The sequence below is a fragment of the Homo sapiens genome, chromosome 21 (assembly GCF_000001405.40).
Source record: "Homo sapiens chromosome 21, GRCh38.p14 Primary Assembly".
NCBI lineage: Eukaryota > Metazoa > Chordata > Mammalia > Primates > Hominidae > Homo > Homo sapiens.
The window spans coordinates 25,659,795-25,683,057 of NC_000021.9; the positions used below are offsets into that span (position 1 = coordinate 25,659,795).

Consider the following 23,263-nt stretch of genomic DNA (forward strand, 5'->3'; position numbering starts at 1 on the left):
AGAAGACTTAAAACAATAATTATCCCAGTTAAATGCATCAAAATTAGTTGAATTATCCTTAGCTGAAAATTGATTCTTTGAAATATAACATAAACCTAGTGTCTTCTCCTATACCTCTTTTATAGTTTGTTGTTGTTGTTTTTCTGAGATGGAATCTCACTCTGTCACCCAGAGTGCAGTGGTGCGGATCTCGGCTCACTGCAACCTCTGCGTCCTGGGTTCAAGCAACTCTCCTGCCTCAGCCTTCTGAGTAGCTGGGACTACAGGCCACCCCCGACCATGCTCAGCTAATTTTTTTGTATTTTTAGTAGAGACGGGGTTTCACTATGTTGGCCAGGCTGGTCTCAAACTCCTGACCTCAAGTGATCCGCCCACCTCAGCCTCCCAAAGCCTGGGATTACAGGCCTGAGCCACTGCACCCAGCCCCTCTTATAGTTTTATTGTGAGAACAAGTATGGTCAATGGAAAATAATGTAGATGATAGATTTTACTTTTAAAAAATTACCATTATGGTCACATTACGTTAGCTGTATAAGACAAAAACATCCTCAGTTTATAAAAAAAGCATTCAACTTTCTATTAACAGAGAGTGTGCTCAAGGAATTAAATCAGGAATTATCAACAGGAAGGGGATTACTTCCCCCAGGGGGTACTGTGAAATTTTATGGGACCTATTCCATTGTCACAATGATGAGTGGTTGCTATATATTTGCTGAGCAGGGACCAGGCCTCTTAAACAGCTTGCTGTGTGCCAGACAGTCCTGCAAAATAAAGAATTTTCCTGAGTCCCTCATTTTTCATAACTCTCCAAAGTCCTGCTGCATGTTCATATAAGTGAAAACTTCATAATTATCTGAGCTTATACTGTAACTTACACTGTTTTACCTATAAACACAAATATTCTTTTGGACAGTCTTATCATATAACTAAATATACAAATTTGTATTCTAATGCTCACAATAACCATATATATATATATATATATATATTTTTTTTTTTTTTTTTTTTTTTTTTTTTTGAGACAGAGTCTCACCCTGTTGCCCAGGCTGGAGTGTGATGGCACAGTCTCAGCTCACTGCAACCTCCACCTCCTGGGTTCAAGTGATTCTCCTGCCTCAGCCTCCTGAGTAGCTGGGATTATAGAAACTTGCCACCACGCCCAGCTAATTTTTGTACTTTTAGTAGAGACAGGAGTTTCACCATGTTGGCCAGCCTGGAACCCCTGACCTTAGGTGATCCGCCCACCTCGGCCTCCCAGAATGCTGGGATTACAGGCGTGAGCCACTGCGTCTGGCCAATAACCCTATTCTTATATTCCTGTACTATTTGGAATGGTTTCTGATTTTACTTAAATCCCATTTAACATTATAAGTGTACACCAGGCATGGTGGCTAATGCCTGTAATACCAGCACTTTGGGAGGTGGAGACAGAGGATCTCTTGAGGCCAAGAGTTTGAGACTAGCTGGACTGGGCAACATGGCAAGATTCCATCTCTATGAGAGTAAACATTTAAGAAAATTTGCTAGGCATGGTGGTGCATGCCTATAGTCCTAGCTACTTGGAAGGCTGAAGCAGGAGGATCCCTTGAGCCCAGAGGTTCAGTGTTACAGTGAGCTATAATCATGCCACCGCACACCAGCCTGGGTGACAGAGCAAGACATTATCTCTAAAAAAAGAAAAATAAATAAAAATAAGTGTAGACTTCATTGTGTCTTCTAGTGTACTCACGTATAAGCATTTATGAATTAAAATATGTATTTTTTTATTTCTCTTTAACATTAAAGGGACATTACATTATTTCCCAAATTTTACATATATATAAATTTTATGTATATAAATTATATGTTTGTATATGTAATGTTTATTATCTATAAATTTCATTTCAGGATAATAAAGGAGGCATCAAAATTTATTATAAAATGAGGGTCTGATAGTGTTAAGAACCAATAAATTAAAATAAATGAATGCAAATTACATGTATTTCATCACTGCACTAAATTCTTAGGTTTGTGGTGGTTGAAAACAAAATTATATACTCTATTTTTAGGGAAACAGTTTTTCCCTTTCCAAGATTCATTTTTAGCTAACATGAGCAAAAAATTTAAATGGGAGAAAAATGTTAAAAAATAATTGCAGAACATGCTGCAGAATAACCGTGGATATGTATAGATGTGGGTGTGTTTCATTAAAATCTATTTAAGTATTTTTTTTCCTTTATATGTAGTTAAGGTAAGGATAGTTTTTGAGTTATTCGGTGTCAAAATTACTTTTGGATTTTTGTGCAAACAGGCTATAAACCTGTAACATTATCAAAAATGTCAACATATAGATAAAACTTAATACTTTTTTTTATTTTATTTATATATTTTGAGAAGATGTCTCACTCCTGTCACCCCAGCTGGAGTGCAGTGATACAATAAAATTCACTGCAGCCTCAACCTCCTTGGCTCAAGCCATCCCTCCCACCTCAGCCTCCCGAGTAGCTGAGACTATAGGCTCATGCCACCATGCCTGGCTAGTTTTTGTTTTTGTTGTGTAGAGACAGGGTCTTGCTATGTTGCCCAAGCCACTCTTGAAGCCCTGGGCTCAAACAGTCCTCCAGCCTCAGCCTCCCAGAGTGCTAGGATTACAGGCGTGAGCACTGTGACCGGCCTTATTTTTATATTTTATTTTTTTGAGACATGGTCCCACTCTGTCACCCAGGCTAGAGTGCAGTGACGTGATCATAGCTCACTGTAGCCTCAACCTCCTGGGCTTAAGTGATCCTCCTGTCTCAGCCTCTTGAGTATCTGGGATAGGAGGTGTGAGCCACCGCACCTGGCTATACTTAGTTTTTAATTTAACTGGTATTGTCTGTTGGTCTCATAGCCTAAGTATTGCAATACATTAAACAATAGACAGTTAATACTATATTTAAGTATATTTTATATTATATGTAAATATAGCTTATACTATTCTTAAAATACAGTACAAGAAGTTTATACATTTGATTTGAAGACAAAATATGTCCACTTTTGTTTATAACAGACATTTAATTACTTCCTATTGTGGGTTAAGTATGATGTAGACACAATCTTGTATCAAATAGTTCCAACATCATGCTCCTAACACTATCCAATGGGAGGATCAGACATGTAAAACATCCTAATTTTTTAAAAGTCTTATAAAAAGTACTATGTCAGATAGAGAAGGTTTGACTCTGTATGGGAGGACAGAAGGGGCCAGCGAAAGCTTTACTTTTCTTGACAGTTAAGTCAGGTGTTAAATAACATAGAAGTTCATCATTCGGCAGGGGAGTGTTGGAGAGAGGGGATTCCAGGCAGAGGGCTTGGAGAATGCAGAGAGCCAGAGTGTCTGGGAACTCCACCATGGGTGCCTTGAACATAGGGTTTGTAAGGGGCAGTAGTCAAAGGAAGGCTGGAAAGATGGGAGCCTGTTCCGAAAGGCCATTTGAAGGAACCTGGAATTCATCTTGAAGGTAACAGGAGGCCTCTGAAGGAAGCTAAATATCAGATAGTATTTTAAGGCTCTAACCCATGTAAGAGTAAGGAGGATGAACTGCAAACTTGTCCACATCTATATTCATCCTTGTCAATTTCCCTCCTGAATCAAAGGAAGAGGGTTGCTATGGTTTGAATATTTGTTCCCTTCAAGACTCATGTTGAAACATAATCCCTAATGTAGCAGTATTAAGAGGTAGGGCCTTTAAGAAGTGATCGATTCATGAGGACTCTGCCTTCATGAATGGATTAACCCATTCATAGATTAACAATTTAAGGAATTAATGAGTTATCATAGGAGCGGGACTGGTGGCTTTATAAGGAAAGGAAGAGAGAACTGAGCTAGCACTCTTGCACACTGAGCCCGCTCACCCTGTGATGCCCTGTACCACCTAGGGACTCTTCAGAGAGTCCCCACCAGCAAGAAGACCCTCATCAGATGTGACCCCTCTACCTTGGACTTCTCAGCCTTCATAACTGTAAGAAATAAATTCCTTTTCTTTATAAATTACCCCATTTCAGGTATTCCATTATCAGCAACAGAAAACAGATGAAGATAAGGGGTCTCTCCTACCCAAAGCTAATTTCACACCTGTGTGCATGATCCTATTTTTCCAGTCTCTTGTATTCTTTGTTGCAGCAATTAATCTCCTCTCTCTGTCATGTATCTTCAACTTATCTTCATTACTAGTTCTCTTACCACAGGCTATAAATATGCTCAAATCTCTACAACTTAATGTAGGAAAGAACCCCACTATGATTCTCCAAGGAAACTTCTTGAAACAGTGACATATATTTATTATGTCAATTTTCTTACTGACCATTCAGCTCACTGCACATTGCCTGTTTCCCATGCCATTGAAATTACTATCATTGTATCGCCAATAATTTACTAGTTCCTAAGTCCATGGCTTGCTTTATTTATTTATTTTTTATTTTACTTATTTATTTTTTTTTTGAGACAGAGTCTTTCTCTGTTTCCCAGGCGGGAGTGCAGTGGCGTGATCTCGGCTCACCACAACCTCCACTTCCTGAGTTCAAGTGATTGTCCTGCCTCAGCCTCCCGAGTAGCTGGGGCTATAGGCGCACGCCATCATGCCCAGCTAATTTTTGTATTTTTTGTAGAGATGGGGTTTCACTGTGTTGGCCAGGCTGGTCTCGACCTCCTGGCCTTGTGATCTGCCCACCTCGGCCTCCCAAAGTGCTGGGATTACAGGCGTCAGCCACTGCGCCCAGCCCATGGCTTGCTTTTTAAGTCAAAACCTTACTTGACCTTTCTAGAACATCGAACATTGTTGACACTCCCTCTTTGAAAGTCTGCCATTCCGTGATTTCCATGACATCATTCTGTCCTAGTTTCTCTTATTTCTCCAATTGCCTCTTCTCAATCTCTTACATGGTTTCCTCTTGGACTTTTTCTCTCTTATTCTACTCCAGTGTTTCCTGCTCTAAATTATATTCCTCCCTAGAGAGTCACAGTGCTCCTTAGCATGTTAGAGGCTCCAATAAGTCCTTTTATACAATGGAGAACTTTGTTTAACTTGTTAACCCAGTCTTTCTCAACCCAGTGTTTCTTTATCACCATGGAATCTGTATCCCTTTGTGAAACACTAAATGTCAATGGCCAGTCTGAGGGAGAAGATGCAGGAAAAGAACGTGAAAGAAGAGAATAGTGTCACAATAGCCACAAAATGTGACAAATCATAAAATGCTACTTAATTTCATCAACATAGATTGAAGAGAAAAGTTCTATGGGTTGTCTAGAGTGTTGCCTAGGGCTTTAACAGGAAAACTTCCTAGAGGTGGTGAGACTTAAGAGGGGTCTTGAGGGTTGGAGAAAATTGTAATAGGGAGGAGACAGCACTCCCACCCATGCCTGTACCTCCTCTCTGAGTGAGGGCTGTACAAGGGATAAGAAAGGCTACATGAACATCTCCTTTGTCCTTGACATGCCTCTGAAGATGGTATTAAGGTTTAAAGGCAAGTGCTTGATTATGTAAGGTTGTTTTAGATCAGCATTCTCAGAACAAAATAGACTATGGAACACTTTTTAAAAGACTGTATTGCCAGACCTCCAAAGGAACTCCTAAGGTACAATGCTCACTAGTTTTAAGTAGGCACTCAAATTAATTTACCACTATAATTCATTATGATGCTTGTATTAGGGTTGTCCAGACAAGTAGAACCAACAAGACATGTGTGTATGTGTGTGCATGTATGTACATATATGTATATAAAGAGACTTGTTTTAAGGAATTGGTTCATGTGATTATGGAGGCAAGCAAGCTACAGACCCAGGAATTGCCAAGGCTGCAGTTCAAGTCCAAAGGCTATCTGCTGGCAGAATTCCCTCCTGCTTGAGAGAAGTCAGTCTTTTGTTCAATTTAGGCCTTCAATTGACCGGATGAGACCCACCAACATTACGGAGGGCAACATGCTTTACCGATTTAAATGTTAATCTCACGCCACACACAGTGGCTCACGTCTGTAATCCCAGCACTTTGGGAGGCCGAGGCGGGTGGATTACTTGAGGTCAGGAGTTCGAGAGCAGCTTGGCAAACATGGCAAAATCCCATCTCTACTAAAATGCAAAAATGAGCCAGGCGTGGTGGTGCATGCCTGTGGTTCCAGCTACTCGGGAGGCTGAGGCAGGAGAATCGCTTGAACCCAGGAGGCTGAGGTTGCAGTTTGCTGAGATTGCGCCATTGCACTCCAGCCCGGGTGATAGAGTGAGACACCATCTCAAAAATAATAATAATAATAAAATGTTAATCTCATCCAACAACACCCTCACAGAAACATCCAGAATGTTTGACCACATATCTGAGCATCATTGCCTAGCCAAGTTGACAGGTAAAATTAACTATCACAATGCTATTTTCAATTGTATATCAACATTTTAAAAAAGCAAATAATTTTAAAAAATTGCTCACCTTGTGTTATTAAATTTAGAATGCTTTATTAAGCTTATTTTGATTTTATAGTAATAGAGATTTTTAAAAATTACATTGTTACGGCTTTTATTATTATTATTATTATTATTATTTGAGAAGGAGTCTTGCTCAGTCACCCATGCTGGAGTGCAATGGCGCGATCTCTGCTCACTGCAACCTCTGCCTCCCGGGTTCAAGCTATTCTCCTGCCTCAGCCTCCTGAGTCGCTGGGATTACAGGCACCCGCCACCACACCCGGCTAAGTTTTGTATTTTTAGTAGAGACAGGGTTTCGCCATGTTGGCCAGGCTATTTTTTTATTTTTTTGAGACAAGGTCTTGCTCTGTCTCCCAGGCTGGAATGCAGTGGCGAGATCACAGCTCACTGCAGCCTTGACCTCTTGGGCTCGAGTGATCCTCCCACCTCATCCTCCTGAGGAGCTGGGACAACAGGAGCACATACCATGCCCAGCTAACTTGTTTATTTTTTGTAAAGATAGGATCTCACTGTGTTGCCCAGACTGGTCTCAAACTCCTCAAGTGATCCTCCCACCTCCATCTCTCAAATGCTGGGATTACAGGCATGAGCCATTGCACCTGGTAGTTGTGGCTTTTAAAATCTCCTTTTAAGTTACTATCTAGAAAAATATTTTAGGAATTGACTCTATCATTTTAAGCATCAAATATATTCATGTAATTTTTTGTTGCAGCATAATGTGAAAATTGTTTCTGCACAGTAATGTCTTTTGTGTCAGAATTGGCTACTTCAAAATCTTTTGTTCTTTAATCCCGGGCAGTTATCTCTTAATTAAAAAAATTAAAGTGGTATATTCATTATATCATAGTCTCCCCTTATCCACAGTTTTCCTTTTTGCAATTTTACCCGTGGCCAACCACAGTCGAAAAATACTAAATGAAAAGTTCAAGAAATAAACAATTCACCTGGGATGGGAATCATCCCTTTGTCTGGTGTATTCATGCTGTAGAAGCTACCCACCTGTTAGTCACTGATATTGCCTGTTCCTGTCATCCAATCAGTGACATCGTTGTGGCTGAATGATTCGGGATCACTTGAAGCAGATGATTCTCCTTCTGATGTATTGTCAGAAGGTCAATAGTAGCCTAATGCTACCTCACGATGCCTGTTACCCACCTCATTTTATCTCATCACGTCGGCATTTTATCTCTTACATTATTACAAGAAGGGTGAATACAGTAGAATAAGATATTTTGAGAGAGACGTCATTCACATAATTCTTATTCAGCATATTGTTATAATTGTTCTATTATTCTTGTTATTAATCTTGTACTGTGCCTAACTTATAAATTAAACTTTATCATAAGTATGTTTGTATAGGGAAAAACAGAGTGTATATAGGGTTTGGTACTATCCATGGCTTCAGACATCCACTGGGGGTCTTGGAACGTATCTCTCATGAATTAGGGGGGACTAGTGTGTTCCATTCCATCTTCTCCATAATTCACTTCACTTCCATTCATTCAGCAAATATTTACTGAGTACCATATGGCAAGCATTGTTCTTCGCCCTTGGGATTATTAACAAAAATTAGTAGCCAAAATAAAGGGCCCCACCTTCAGTACATAAACACATATATAATGCATTAGAAGATAATAATGCTATTTTCAATTGTATATCGTTTGAAAATATGAAAAAAGAAAAAGAAAAGCAGGATCAAAGGAATCAGGAATGTCGAAGGGGAAAGGTGAGCTGAAGGTGAGCTGAAATATTTAATAGAGAGATCAGAGGAGATTTTATTAAGGAGGTGTCCTTTGAGCAAAGACTTGAAGAAGTGAGGGAGTTAATAGACATCTAAAGGAAGAGTCTTTCAGATGGAGGAAACAGCCAGAGTCTGGCCTGATTGAGGATGAACAAGGAAGCCAGTGTCCCTGGAGCAGAGGGAGGGAAGAGTCAAGAAAAGGAGGTTCGAAAGCAATGGGCCACTTTGCATAGGACCTTCTATGCCAATGAAAGAACTTCCCCTTCTACTCTGGGGAAATGAAGAACCAGTCCAAGGTTTTGAGCAGAAGAGTGCCATGATCTGACTTAGCATTTTAAAGGGTCACTCTAGTGGATGTGTTGAGATTAGATTCCAGAAAGGCAGGACAGAAGCAGGACAGTCAGGAGGCTATTGTAGCAATCCAAGAAAGAGATGTTAGTGCTCAGACCACAGTAGTAGCTATGGGAGGAGTGAGAAGTGGTCAGATTCGGAATGCATTTTGAAGGTAAAGTCAGTAGGTTTTGCTAATGAATAGGAATGGGCTGTGATACGTGGGATCACTAAAGATAAATGCCAGATTTTTCTCAACCAGAGCAATGGAATAATTGAGTTGCCATCATCTGAGGTGGAGAAGGTGGAACAGGTTTAGAAAGAAAGATGATATTTGGATGTAGAGTTTGAAATGTCTCATAAACTTTCAGGTGATAGGCATTTGGATCTGAAGTTCAGCAAAGATGTCCAGAATGGAAATATGTATTTGGGAGTGTTTAGCATGTCAGAGTGTTTAATGCCAGGAATCTGGATCACATCATTAAAGAAGGAAATACAGATAGAGAAGTAGATTTGACCAAGGATGGGAGCCATGAGAAGAAAAACTAGGAAAGTGTGTTGTCCTGGACGTTAAGTGTAGAAAGCGTGTTAAGAAGAAGGGTGTGATGGATTGTGTCAATTGAGGTAGTTATGGAAGGCATCATCATAAATTATGTTTTACAGAGGACGAGACACAGCCAAAGAGGTTTTAACTATCCAAAACATATCATAGCAAGGACAAAAAAGGAGGAAGAATTTAAACCCAGGGCTTTTCCACTGTAATGAAATAGTCATTACCTTTAAAAAGGTAGGGGAGGCCAGGTGTGGTGGCTTACACCTATAATCCCAGCATTTTGGGAGGCTGAAGCAAGCAGATCACTTGAGCCCACAAGTTTGAGACCAGCTTGGGCAACACGGTGAAACCCCATTTCTACAAAAAATAGAAAAATTAGCCAGACATGTTGGCTAACAGCTGTGGTCCAGCTACTCGGAAGGCTGAGGTGGGGGATCACCTGAGCCCGGGGAGGTTGAGGCTGCAGTGACCCATGATTGCGCGCCTGCACTCCAGCCTGGGCAACAGAGTGAAACCCTGTCTCAAAAAAAAGAAAAAAAAGAAAAAAAGAAAAAAAAAGAAGATGGGGGAAAAGTATAACCCTAACAATTCATTTTTCATAGAACATCCTCATACGCGATTATTGTAGAATCATTTGTGAAATGTTCTATCTGCGTCACCACATTGGATAAAAAGCAATGTGAAGTGAGGGGAGAGGGATGAGAAGCAAGTATTTATAGAGAATCTACTGTGTGCCAAGAGGTAGGCTAAGCAATTATGTACATGATTTTATTTCATCTTTACAACCAGCTAGGGAAGGCATTACTAGCTTCATTTTACTTAAACTGAGGCTGTAGCTTATCCAAGGTGACGTGGCTAGTAATTCACAGCACTGGGTTTCAAATACTGGGTTATGACTTCCTAAAGACAGAATGATTCTGTTTCCATCTATAATGAAGACTAAGACTTAAGTTGCATTTCTCTAATAGACTACTCTTTTCTTACCTTGCTAGACTCTAATGTTGTCTTTTATTTAATTTTAGATGATACTTACTCAAAAAGCCAAGCTGCTGAAAATAATAGTGGTAGAATACAATTTAGTTCTTTATCCCAATGGGGGTAAAGTCAGTTCTGATACCACCTTATTAAGACTAAGTGCTAAGATTATGTGCTAAGGCTGACTCTAAATAATTTCAAAACTTTTGGTAGATTCTGTCATAAATCCAGTTCTCTTCATGCTATGACAAACATCAAACAGCCATTTCACTTGAGTTATATTACGACAATTAGACTTTTGCCTACCATATCTGGACACAAATACCTTTGTTCTTCTTTCCAATACTCAATTTGAAAGAGTTTCAAAAATTTGACCTTGGCTGCGCATGGTGGCTCATGCTTATAATCCCAGCACTTTGGGAGGCCGAGGTAGGTAGGTCCCTTGAGCCCAGAGTTTCGAGACCAGCCTGGGCAACGTAAAGAGACCCTGTCTCTACAAAAAACACAAAAATTAGCCAGGCATGGTGGTATGTGCCCACAGTCCCAGCTACTCAGGATTGCTGAGGTGCAGTGATCGCTGGAGCCCCGGGAGATCAAGGCTGCAGTGAACTATGATCACGCCACTGCACTCCAGCCTGGGTGGCAGAGCAAGACCCTGTGTCAAAATTTAAAAAAAAAAAAATTGACCTTTATCCAATAGCACAAAAACTCATTTCCTGACCATTCTAGGAAGCAGCTCCAAAGGTCCCACTGATTTTAATGTGTGCAGATATTCACTAAATTATTTATTTTATTGGTCTAGTTCACTGATCCTAAAAAAGTGCGTGTTGGTGTTAGCTCACAGTTGGATGTGTAGGACTAGTTTTGAACTAAAAAAGTCAGAGAACTGTTTTTACCAAAAGAAAAGGGAAATTGTGGTTCCTGGATTTACAGGACCCAAGAAATCAGGGTAGCTAATTCTTAGGAATCTTGCCTGACAATTGTGAATATGACAGTTAAGCAATGCCAAACCATTGTTTCCATGTTCTGCACTTCAAAATAAATGGTTCTTGTTTTTTGGCTTCCTGAGGACTAATCAAAGGAAGCATGAAGCAACAATGGCTGGGAAGTTTCCCTTGGTTTTCAAATTTCTTCTGTAAGCACTTGTGGTAATAGAATTTAATTAATAACACTTGTATGTAATGTAAGGGCCAAGATTTTATGAGTCATCTTCCAGCAGGAAAGTTGAAAAATAAAATTCACACAGCTCTCATATTTTAAGAAATGAAGTTTGATAGAAAGTGTGCATGCTAAATCATTGGCCATATAAAATCTCTAGTATTTTAAAGGCTGAATATCAGATCATGGTCCGTGGAGACCATTTCTTTCTCCCAGCTTTGTGGGTGGTAAAATCGAGAAAGCTTAGTAAACTCATTAATAAGTAGAAGCCCAAAATTATGTGGAGTGGGATATTAGTTCCCTGTGTAAGAAAAATAATACAAAAAAATGCTTATTCTTGCAAATTTTACAAAATGTGCATGCATTGCTAAGCCTTCCCCACCCACCCTCACTTGGGCCTTGGTAAGTACTCTTGTAAGGGTTGGTCCCAAAACTTAAGCCTTATTAAACTCATGGTCAACCTGTATCCCTTTATGTGCCTATTTATTATATACAACCTATTTTAGAAAAAGATTATCTTTTTCTTTATTTTTTTTTTCTTTGAGACAGAGTCTTGCTCTGTCACCCAGGCTGGAGTGCAGTGGCACAATCTCAGCCCACTGCAACCTCCACCTCCCAGGTTCAAGTGAGTCTCCTGCCTCAGCCTCCTGAGTTGCTAGGACTACAGGCGTGCACCACCACACCTGGCTAATTTTTTGTATTTTTTTAGTAGAGATGGGGTTTCACCATGTTGGCCAGGCTGGTCTCGAACTCCTGACCTCAAGCAATCTGCTGGCCTTGGCCTCTCAAAGTGCTGGGATTACAGGCATGAGCCACTGCGCCCAGCAGAAAAGGATTCTCTTTGTTTGAGAAATGCTAAGATAACCTCATTTGCAGATTATACATTTAACAGATTGGTGATATTAGAGAATCCTTTTGATCTCTTTTTATGCTAATCTCTGCCAAACACATTAAACTGTTAGTGATTGTGGAAATTCACTCAGTAAAGCAGAGAAGTAAAACTACAAAGATATAAAGGAAGTTTGAAACAATACCAAACATCTACGTAGCGTGGGAGGTGGAGAGAGTTTAGTAGATGGTAGTGATGTATCTTGTCACATACATTGTTTAAGCAGCTATTTTTCTTTTTCTTTCTTTCTTTTTTTTTTTGTTGAGGTGGGGTCTTGCTGTGTTGCCCAAGCTTGTCTCAAACTCCTGGGCTCAAGCAATACTCCCAAATCAGCCTCCCAAGTAACTGGGATTACAGGTGCATGCCACCACATCCAGGTGGTTTAGTAAGTAACAAATACCTGTGGAATAATTATTTCTCTATCCCTGACCCAAACAGCCCCTGAGAAATCTGGGTGTGTATCAGCTGTTAGGGTGTTTTGTGCAGAGATGCACAGATTCTCACAGAATTTCAGAACCAGAGTTCAAATCCAGGTTCAGAGACTCAGTTTTAACCACTTGCCCAGAGCTGATCAAACTCTGGAGAAATGATTTACAATACCTAATCTTAAAAATGATTTATTTGACAAGTAAATGAGTAAGTATATTTCTAGTGAGAAATAGAACTGCCAAATGCTGGCAGTGGTTCTGTACTTTTAATCTTTAAAAGCTGTATCTAGGTCTAGGAGTTAGGTAACTACAATTTCAGATTAAAGAGCAATGAATAATCCTAATTTATATAGCTCTCAAAGTCTGATGCACCATCTCTGCTGTAGAGGTGCGCCTATACACAACGCAGACCATGTCTCATTAGTAAGGAGGGCACCCAGGCTTGTTGTTCTTTCTCTCTTTGCCATTACGCCAAGTGTCTGTTTTGATGTCTGACATCTTTCATATTCTTCTACTATCCACTAATGAAGTGTTAGGGCCATCGTTTTGTTTTCTGGTAACTTACTCTTAAGGAGAAGCAATTAGAACACAGAATGGCCAATAACCATGGCTTCCACTGAGTATGTGGCTCTTATTAGCATCCATTTTGGAAGGGGTATTTCCTTATTTTGTCTTGATAGTCTACTAGATTTGAATTGACTGTTGCCGTCTATCTAAAATCTATAGTTAATGTCACAGGTAAATGAATTGTGTTTGGCTGAGATTGTCACTTGGGGAAAATCAAAGACTACAGAATCCTAAAATGGCTTCTTCATGTCTGATGAGGAGTGCCTGGTGAGACATTCAGCCACTGATGGTTTTCCTGTACCACTGGCTACCATTACACAATTGAACATGTGCAGGACAATTTTTTTTGAAATTTTTGGGAATTTATTTTACTTCGAGAAGTTAATTTAATTACTTCATCTCTTTCTAATATCACTGAAAAATTTTAATCTAGTTGTTTGTGCAATGGAATGCCCTGGAAGTTTTCCTGAACTTAGTAATGCATGTAACTTATATGAAAATAACTTTATCCTCAATTCTGAATCATCAGTAGTCCCTCTTATACTTAAGTTGTCGAAGAACCAGAAAAGGGAGAGGGCATAAAACTTTTGTGCATAAATATACACGGTTTATTCAAATTAGTTCATTCACCATAAACGTTTACTCATTAACACTGTCTCTGTTAAGATGGAAATTTGTAGTATACTCTCTGAATAATATCTTTACAACCCTAAAGGTTGAAAATGGCTATGAAGCCATTACAGTGTGTCTGGCGGTCTTATGTCTGGAGCTACTTTCTCATAATGCCTTGTACTGATTTGAGGGCAGGGAGAGAGGAAAGGGGACTGTGGAGCAGACTAAGCAGATGGACATCTTGGCTTCCCTGCTTTCTAAAACACTGTGACCTCCAGCAACTTATTTAACTACTCTCAATTGTCATATCTCTTGATATGGTTTGGCTGTGTCCCCACCCAAATCTCATCTTGAATTGTAGCTCCTGTAATTCCCACATGCTGTGGGAGGGACCTGGTGGGAGATAAGTGAATCATGAGGGCAGTTTCCCCCATACTGTTTTCATTGTAGTGAATAAGTCTCACGCGATCTGATGGTTTTATAAGGGGTTTCCCCTTTTGCTTGGCTCTCATTCTCTCTTGACTGCCGCCATGTAAGATGTGCCTTTTGCCTTCCACCATAATTGTGAGGCCTCCCCAGCCACATGGAACTGTGAGTCCATTAAACCTCTTTCCTTTATAAGTTACGCAGTCTTGGCCAGGTGCAGTGGCTCACGCCTATAATCCAAGCACTTTGGGAGGCCTAGGTAGGTGGATCACCTGAAGTCAGGAGTTCGAGACCAGCCTGGCCAACATCATGAAACCCCATCTCTACTAAAAAATACAAACATTAGCCAGGTGTGGTGGCACGTGCCTGTGATCCCAGCTACTCAGGAGGCTGGGGCATGAGAATCACTTGAACCTGGGAGGTGGAGGTTGCAGTGAGCTGAGATCGTGCTACTACACTCTACCCTCGGTGACAGAGCGAGACTCTGCCTCAAAAAATAAAATAAAATAAAAAATAAAAAATAAATAAATTGCCCAGTCTCAGCAGTGTGAGAACAGACTAATATATCTGTCAAATGAGGATTTTAGTGCAGTGGAGTCATTTCTTACTTAGAAGTTAGGTTCTTAAGGGGAGAATTTATTCATAGTGAAAATTATCCTTAAATTCCTAAGATGATCATAAACTGACCAGGACATCAGCCACCAGTAACTCTAAAGTCAAGTGTGTCTTTTCTTTCTCCTTGCATTTTGGTGTGGCTTCCCTTTCTCTGAAAATAGGATACCAATGTCTCATTAAGAGGAAGGGCCAGATTGTCTAGTTCGAGAGACTGTAAAGACATGTGTCTGCCTCTTTTTCTTTCTCCCCTACTCTCTAAATCTAGTATGGTTAGACGATAATGAGATAGATGACCATAATATCTAGCTCCAAATTAGTTCCTACCTCATTGGGTTACTTTCTATTAATATACATATTTATCCATAATAAATACTGGGTGGCATTATTTTATTTGTCAATGCCAACCCTGTGCAACTTTTTATATTTGTTAGTATATGTGCTAATCTGTTCTCCCACTGCTATAAATAAATAAATACCTGAAACTGTGTAATTTATAAAGACAAGAGGTTGAACTGGCTCACGGTTCTGCAGGCTGTACAGGAAGCATAGTGGCTTCTGCTTCTGGGGAGGCCTCAGGAAGCTTCCAATCATGGAGGAAGGCGAAGGGGGCACAGGCGTCTCACATGGTGTGACAGGCATCTCACATGGTGTGAGCTAGAGCAAGAGAGAAAGTGGGGAGGTGCTACACACTTTTTGGCCAGGCGCGGTGGCTTACACCTGTAATCCTAGCACTTTGAGAAACTGAGGTGGGCAGATCACTTGAGACCAGCAGTTTGAGACCACCCTGGCCAACATGGTGAAACCCCATCTCCACTATTAGTACAAAAATTCACAGGACATGGTGGCTCATGCTTGTAGTCCCAGCTACTCGGGAGGCCGAAGCACGAAAACCAGTTGAGCCCGGGAAGCAGAGGTTGCAGTGAGCCAAGATGGCGCCATTGCACTCTAGCCTTGGTGACAGAGGGAAACTCTGTCTCAGAAAAAGAAAGAGAGAGAGGAGAGAGAGAGAAAGAGAGAGAGAGAGGAAGGAGGGGAAGGAAGGAAGGAAGGAGGGAAGGAAGGAAGGAAGGAAGGAAAGAAGGAAGGAAGGAGGGAGGGAGGGAGGGAAGGAGGGAAAGAAGGGAGGAAGGGAGGAAGGGCTACACACTTTTAAACAACCAGATCTCAGGAGAGCTCGCTCACTATCATGACAACAGTTCCAAGGGGATTGTGTTAAGCCATTCATGAGAAACTGCTCCCATGATCCCATCACCCCCCACCAGCCCGACTTCCAGCATTAGGAATTACAACTGAACATGAGATTTGGGTGGGACACAGATCTAAACCATATCAGTATAATAATTGTCTTTCAGTAACTATCAAAACCACATGGCCATAAATTTTTATTTTTATGAAACTTATGATATAACTGATATCCATACTTTTTATAATTTGCTTTTATACATGATAATGTGATACTATACATTTAAAACAAACAAAAAACTTCAGGCCGGGTGCAGTGGCTCACGTCTGTAATCCTACCACTTTGAGAGGCCAAGGTGGGCAGATCACTTGAGGTCAGGAGTTTGAGACCAGCCTGGCCAACATGGTGAAACCCCGTCTCTACTAAAAATACAAAAATTAGCCAGGTGTGGTGGCACATGCCTGTAGTCCCAGCTACTTGGGAGGCTGAGGCAGGAGAATCACTTGAACCCAGGAGGTAGAGGTTGCAGTAAGCCAAGATCACGCCACTGCACTCCAGCCTGGGTGACACAGAGAGACTCGTCTCAAAAAAAAAAAAAAAAAGAAAAAGAAAAAAAAAAAACAACTTATGTAACACTTCTCCAGTTTTTCCTAGTCATGTTTTCAATTAAAAGTGTTAATTTAAATAACACCTTTATAGTAATTTTAAAATTGTCATAATATAAAGTATATATTCTTAGTCAAACCAGACTATCTTAGATGAGTAATAGAGAATACAAAAACTTTTGTTTTTAAAGTTGGGAGGAAAAGAAACACAAAAGGTTTCATTTGACTGGGAATTATTTGACTTGGAGTTGTTAGCAGTTATGAAAATAATCATCTCTTCACCTTATTTTATGAACTTCTGCCAGTGCTTTTGGAACATGTTCATAACTGTTAAAGATGTTCTGAGGCTAACTTTAAGACAATTGTTGACCTCAACCAGCAGGCCTACATGACCATTTTCTTTTGTTTATTTTCCTATTTAATTTGTTCTGGAAAAGTGAAGAAAAAATAAAAATCACTTCAAGAATGCAGCCAACAGGGGCTATACCTAACATCTGCTAGTGATATGCTGATATAAAATCCAACATTTTGTTTTTATAAAAAGAGTTATTAGGTACAAGTTTTGTAAAAAGGAACTCTAAGACTAGAAAGGCTAAAACAAGGTAGAAATCTTATAAATTTTTTTAATTTAAAGATTCAGAGCTTTCTGTTCAAATAAGTTCCACATAAGTGACCATACATTTTAAATATTTTTACTTAATTTGTTGGTAAACCCTGAAGTAAATAGAATTAGAGGAAGAAAGGTAGCTAGAAGGAGAAGATACTTAAAATCACAAAAATAGGTACAATGTATGTTTGGATGACGGCTACACTAAAAGCCCAGACTTCACCACTACACAATATACCCATGTAACAAAATTGCACTTGTGCCCCTTAAATTTATACACACAAAAAGAAAAAAAAAAGGAAATAAATATTCAGCTACTAAGAAATACTACCGATAATTAATTTATTAAAGCTAATTCCCTTTATAATTTTTTGCCTACATAATTTTGCCAATTCAACTAATCCTCTTTTTTAACATCTGTGATACATCGTTTTTCTGTTCAAATATTAATATACACATAAAAAATGTACAAGGGAATTAACAAAATTCCTGAAGCTAACAGCTGTTATTTTTCACAGAAATTTTATAGTAATTTTTGACAATTTAAGAAATGTTTCTTAAAGGAAATTTTAACAAGTAGAAAACTGTAATTGAGAAAGAGAAAATGATTTTCTTTCTCAATGATTCCTGAAACCCAGTTCCTAAATCTTATAATCTCAGAGTGTACTAAAGTTTGCCTGAAATGAAGGAAGGCCAGAACCTACTGAAGAAAATAAACATTCTCAGTAGGCAGTGTGATGTTTGAAAAGTTCAAAGGTATGATGATACAGAGGGAACAAAGATTATCTTTCCCTATTTTGCCCCGAGGTTTTCCTCGACTGGTTTTCAGGGAATTTGAGTCTTCATTGTTTTCTCTAAAAAGTGTAATAAAATATTTCAGAAATCACAAGAATTGTCAGTCATAAGTAGAGTTTCTCCGAGGGCATTAATTCACACAGTGTTAAAGGAGACAAACAGACTTTTTCAAAGTATACTTTGAAAGTTTCACAGAACAATGGTTTGGCATTGGAATCACTGGCAAAAATGTTCAGAGATTTTGTCATCAAAAATAGGAGTAGGCCAGGCGCGGTGGCACTTTGGCAGGCCGAGGCAGGTGGATCACTTGAGGTCAGGAGTTTGAGAACAGCCATGGTGAAACCCTGTCTCTACTAAAAATACAAAAATTAGCCGGGTGTGGTGACGCATGCCTGTAATCCCAGCTACTCAGGAGGCTGAGGCATGAGAATCATTTGAACTCAGGAGGTGGAGGTTGCAGTGAGCCGAGATTGCACCATTGCACTCCAGCCTGGGCAATAGAGCGAGACTCAGTCTCAAAAATTTAAAAAATAAAAAATAAATAAAAGTAGGAGTAAAGCAACAAGGTAGGTCCCGTCTTCCCTACCTCACTGAAGAGGATTCTGGCTTGGTCTCCTGTCTCATTCCTTCCTCTGCTCTCTGAAGATTCAGACTCTATCTTTGGAGTCTATAACATGTGGGAAGCAGAAGAGAAGCTAGGAAATAAAGGAATGCAGGAGAAGAAAGGGATATGGGGGAAGAGAAAAGAAAGAACAGCTGCTATGTGATCAAAGTGTGTGGAAAAGGATATTTAAAAAGATTGCATGGACCCCTTTCATGGTTCTTGAAATATACAAGCAAAAGAGTTCTTTTGAAATGACTCCCTGGTGGACTTGACACCTCTCTAAGATTGAGCCACATGGGTCACTGCTTTCTACAGACATATTTACAGCTGTCAATAGAAAGGATCAGTTCAGTCCTGTACTCTTCACATAGACACCACGTTTGCCAGTTTCCCTATTGAATATGTTTGCCATTTAGAGCTATTGAACCTGCATATCACTGGTTTTCCTGTTATACTAGAAATCTAGTAATTTGTGTCCCACAGACTTTTGCAAATTAAAAAAATATATATTTTGAGTCACTGTGTTGCCCAGTCTGGAGTGCAGTGGTGCGATCATAGCTCACTGCAGCTTCAAACGCCTGTGCTCAAGTGATCCTCCTGCCTCAGCCTCCCAAGTAGCTGGGACTACAGGCAGGTGCTACCACACCCAGATAATTTTTAAAAATTTTTTGTAGAGATGGGGGATGTTACTATGTTGCCCAGGCTGGTCTTAAACTCCTGGCCTCAAGTGATCCTCCTTCCTTGGCCTCTCAAAGTAGTTCTGCAAATTTTAACTTCACAATTAGATTTGCTGTCCAGGCTTTTAAGGGAAAAAAGAAATTCTCCAGAATAGCGTGTGCTCCTTAAGAGTGATAAAATCTAGCACAATGGAAGACTAATTTACATGTTGATATATAGAGATGAATAAATCAAAGAAGAGTTGTCATGTCATATGAAAGATTTCTCTCTCCTTTCCAGGAGTATAATCAATTCTCTTTCATAGTTACACAATTCTGATTTTATACAAACTTTTCAAAATCCTAGAATTCATGGTTCTTTGCCATTCTTTATAGTCTATTGGTTTATTCCTGTTCCTGGTTGTTCAAACTGGTCTAAGTCTAGAGCAATGGTTCTCAACCAGGAGTGATTTCTTTACACCCATCTCTCAGGGGACATTTACTATTTAGGGACATTTTTAGTTGTCATCACTTGGGGGCATGGTGATACCGGCATCTAGTGGGTAGAAGCCAGGGATACTGCAAAACATCCTACAGTGCACAGGACAGCCCCCTACAACAAAGAATGATTGAGTGCCAGATATCACTAGTGTCAAGATGAAGAAACCCTCACCTAGACCTCCCCTCTGGGGTTACGTTGGTGTCCTACTTTCCTAGATCAGCCTCTTAGCTTCCACCTTCCTTTTGTGCTTCAGAGCCAGTCTTTTGCCTTCATTCTAACCACCAATTTCTCAAACTCTCCTGTCTTCATTAGACCAATGAAACTTTCCACCTGGAATCTTTGTTAATCTGCAATCCTTGCTAGTGTTCAGCTTGCGGGGATCACGGTGTGGGCCTAGTATAGCACAGTAATTAACTATGTGGGCTTCAGGTACTGACTGAGTCCAAAGCCAAATGCCACCGCTTACTTCTTCTATGATCATGGCCATGTTTCTTACTCTCTTTGTGCCTCAGTTTTCCCACCCTCAAAAATGTGAGTACAAATGGTACCCTGCCACAGAGAATTGTAAGAGTCAAATGAGTTAATACTTGTAAAGCGCCAAGTGCTTAATAAATGTTAGCTATTATTATCCTTTCTCAAGGGTCCATCAAGGTCCTTGTCCTCTAAGTTACTTCCTTCTCTGTACTCTAAGTCTGGAAAGCAGGTGTAATTTACTCATGATGGTTTCTCTTAAATGTTTGCCTAAATTGTGAATGTTTTCCATTAATCTAATGGCTAGGACTTTTGATGTGGAAAGGCAGAACATACCCTATTTTTCTCTCTCAGGTTTGGCTGTCCATATCTCTTCCCTGAGCACTTTGTGGCATAAAGGTGAGAGATGGGAAAGAGATGGAAGGAAAAATACTTCAGAACATTTTCATGGATGACTCACAATTCTTAGTCTGCAGATGGAAGCTGATGAATGAAGGGATGAGAGGATGGGTGCATCATGGGCAGCACCTAAGTTTCTGGTGTGAGTGGCCACATGGAATGTGATGCTTTACATAGAGATGGGATTTGTAAAAATAAGACAAAGTTTGGGGGCAAGCTGATCAGTTTTGCCTATGAGTTTGTGGTAATTGTGGGAAATGGAAATACAGATGTCCAGCAGAAAGCTGGGCTTACAAATTTAATTTCAAGAGACAGATTGGAGCTGGAGATGTGGAGTTATGACTTTTTAGCAAATAAATGCTAGTTGGGTCAATGAGAGTACAAAATACTCCATAAAAAGGAGGTAGTTTAGTCAGAAAAGCAGTTTCTGGATGGATGGATGGATGGATGGATGACGATCGATGGATGGATGGATGGATGGGCAGAACAAGGAGGAGGAAGAAGAACTCACAAAGCAGACAGAATGAAGCACCAGGATCAGAACAGAAGGATGAAGACTAGGAGAGAATCAAGTTACAGAATACAAGGGAGTCAACAGAGTCACATGTCATAGAGAGGTCAGGTAAGATACAGACTGAAAAGTGTCCGTTAGATATGCCAACAGATAGGTCATTTTCGTCTTGGTGAAAACAGGGTCAGTAGACCACAGGAAGACAGAGAACAGATGGTAGCATGAGTGGAGAAATAGCATTTCAAGTAAACTATAGAAATATATAGTCGAGAAATAACCTTCTTTAGATTTTCATGATAGGCTTAATTCATTCTTACATCATGTATAATTTTTTGGGTGAATAACGAAGGACAGCAGTTGGATTGTTTTGCCTAAATTGTCTACTTGAGATGACCAATGTATTTGTTCTCACTCTGCTAATAAAGACATACCCGAGACTGGGTACTTCATAAAGGAAAGAGGTTTAATTGACTCACAGTTCAGCATGGCTGGGGAGGCCTCAGGAAACTTACAATCGTGGCAGAAGGGGAAGCAAATACATCCTTTTTCACATGGCAGCAGCAAGGAGAAGTGCAGAGTGAAGGTGGGGAAAAGCCCCTTATAAAACCATCAGATCTCGTGAGAACTCACTCACTGTCACGAGAACAGCATGGTTCAATTACCTCCCACCAGGTTCCTCCCACAACACATGGGGATTATGGAAACTACAGTTCAAGATGAGATTTGAGTGGGGACACAGCCAAACCATATCAACCAACAATAATGCTTTGCATTATTCTGAGTTTGAAACAATTAATACCAATCCAATATTGTATACTTACAATACTTTCCCCAAAGAATTGCTTGCCTGGCCGGGCACAGTGGCTCACGCCTGTAATCCCAGCACTTTGGGAGGCTGAGGTGGGTGGATCAGGAGGTCAGGAGATCCAGACCATCCTGGCCAACATGGTGAAACCCTGTCTGTACTAAAAATACAAAAAATTAGCCGGGCGTCGTGGCGGGCGCCTGTAGTCCCAGCTACTCCCAAGGCTGAGGCAGGAGAATGGCGTGAACCCGGGAGGCGGAGCTGGTAGTGAGCTGAGATTGTGCCACTGCACTCCAGCCTGGGTGACAGAGCGAGACTCCGTCTCAAAAAAAAGAAAAAAAGAATTGCTTGCCTTCAGGAACTCTTCCTTAGTATCAGTTTGATCCGACCTCATTTACTGGACTTTTCTCATTAGTATACAATAAGGAATGGGCTCATTTATTCAACAAACATTTATTGTGTCTTGCTTTATGCCAGGCACTGTTCTGAGTGTTTGCGTTAATTTCAGAGACTATAACAGGCGACAGACTTGCACTTGTAGCATTTATATTTTAGATATGTATACTTATAGGAAAGTATTTAAATTATTTTTAAACGTGGTCATTACACTGGAGTATAGAATGACATCCATAAAGAAAGTGATGTAGATCAAAGACGGAATTAGAAAGTTATATTGATACTTTCTGATACTTTCTTCTTTAGTACTAATAATGCCTACCACACCAGGTTATTTTGAATATTGAATTTTACAGCATAAAAGCAAGTATGTGAAGGTGAAATGGGAGAGTTCCCTGATCCCCCTCGCAGGACGTGCGACAGGGGTGTGGCTCACCTGTTCTGTAGCCACCGCTGCTTGAATCCCTGAGGGGAGGGGCAGCATGCAGACAGACAGCTGCAGGAGCCCATGTGGGTGTGTGTTACAATGTGCCCTTTTAGCCTTGCCATCCACAGATGGCCTGAGTGTTAACCAGCTAAACGGACCCTCTGCCTTTTCGCATGGGCCGAGGGCCAGTGTGACAGCTTTCTGTATCCTGAGCTCTTGCCCAGCATCCCAGAAAAATCGGGTCACACACGGGGTTGAAGGATGAATGCAGGGTTTTATTGAGTGGTGGAGGTAGCTTTCAGCAGGATGGATGGGGAGCTGGAAGAAGGGATGGAGTGGGAAGATGGTCTTTTCCTGGAGTTTGGCCATCCAGAGGCCGAATACTTCTCTGACCACCCCCAGTCGAACTCCTCTCGGTGTTCAGACGTCTCTCCTCATCTATCTTTCTTTGCCCTGTTGTTCCGCCATTTGTCTGCTTGTCTCCTCATCTCCTCGCCTGCTCATCTGCTTCTAGAACCTGGGATTTGGGGTTTATATAGGTACAGGACAGGGGCATGGTGGGACAAAAGGCAACTTTT

The 23,263-nt window shown here is 40.4% G+C and overlaps 1 protein-coding gene across 4 annotated transcripts in view, besides 1 other annotated feature; it reads left to right on the forward strand.

Annotated features, from left to right (window-relative positions):
* JAM2 (junctional adhesion molecule 2) overlaps positions 1–23,263 on the forward strand; it is a 78,305-nt gene that overhangs the window by 20,537 nt on the left and 34,505 nt on the right. The gene's annotated exons all lie outside the window — the stretch shown is intronic.
* Positions 21,959–22,118: a silencer, noted in NCBI's record as "fragment chr21:27054065-27054224 (GRCh37/hg19 assembly coordinates)". NCBI's record gives its function as "represses an EF-1alpha promoter that drives an FKBP-Casp9 reporter gene in an ReSE screen in phorbol 12-myristate 13-acetate-treated (for megakaryocytic differentiation) K562 erythroleukemia cells {active_cell/tissue: K562(+PMA)}" and the evidence as "EXISTENCE:reporter gene assay evidence [ECO:0000049][PMID:32094911]".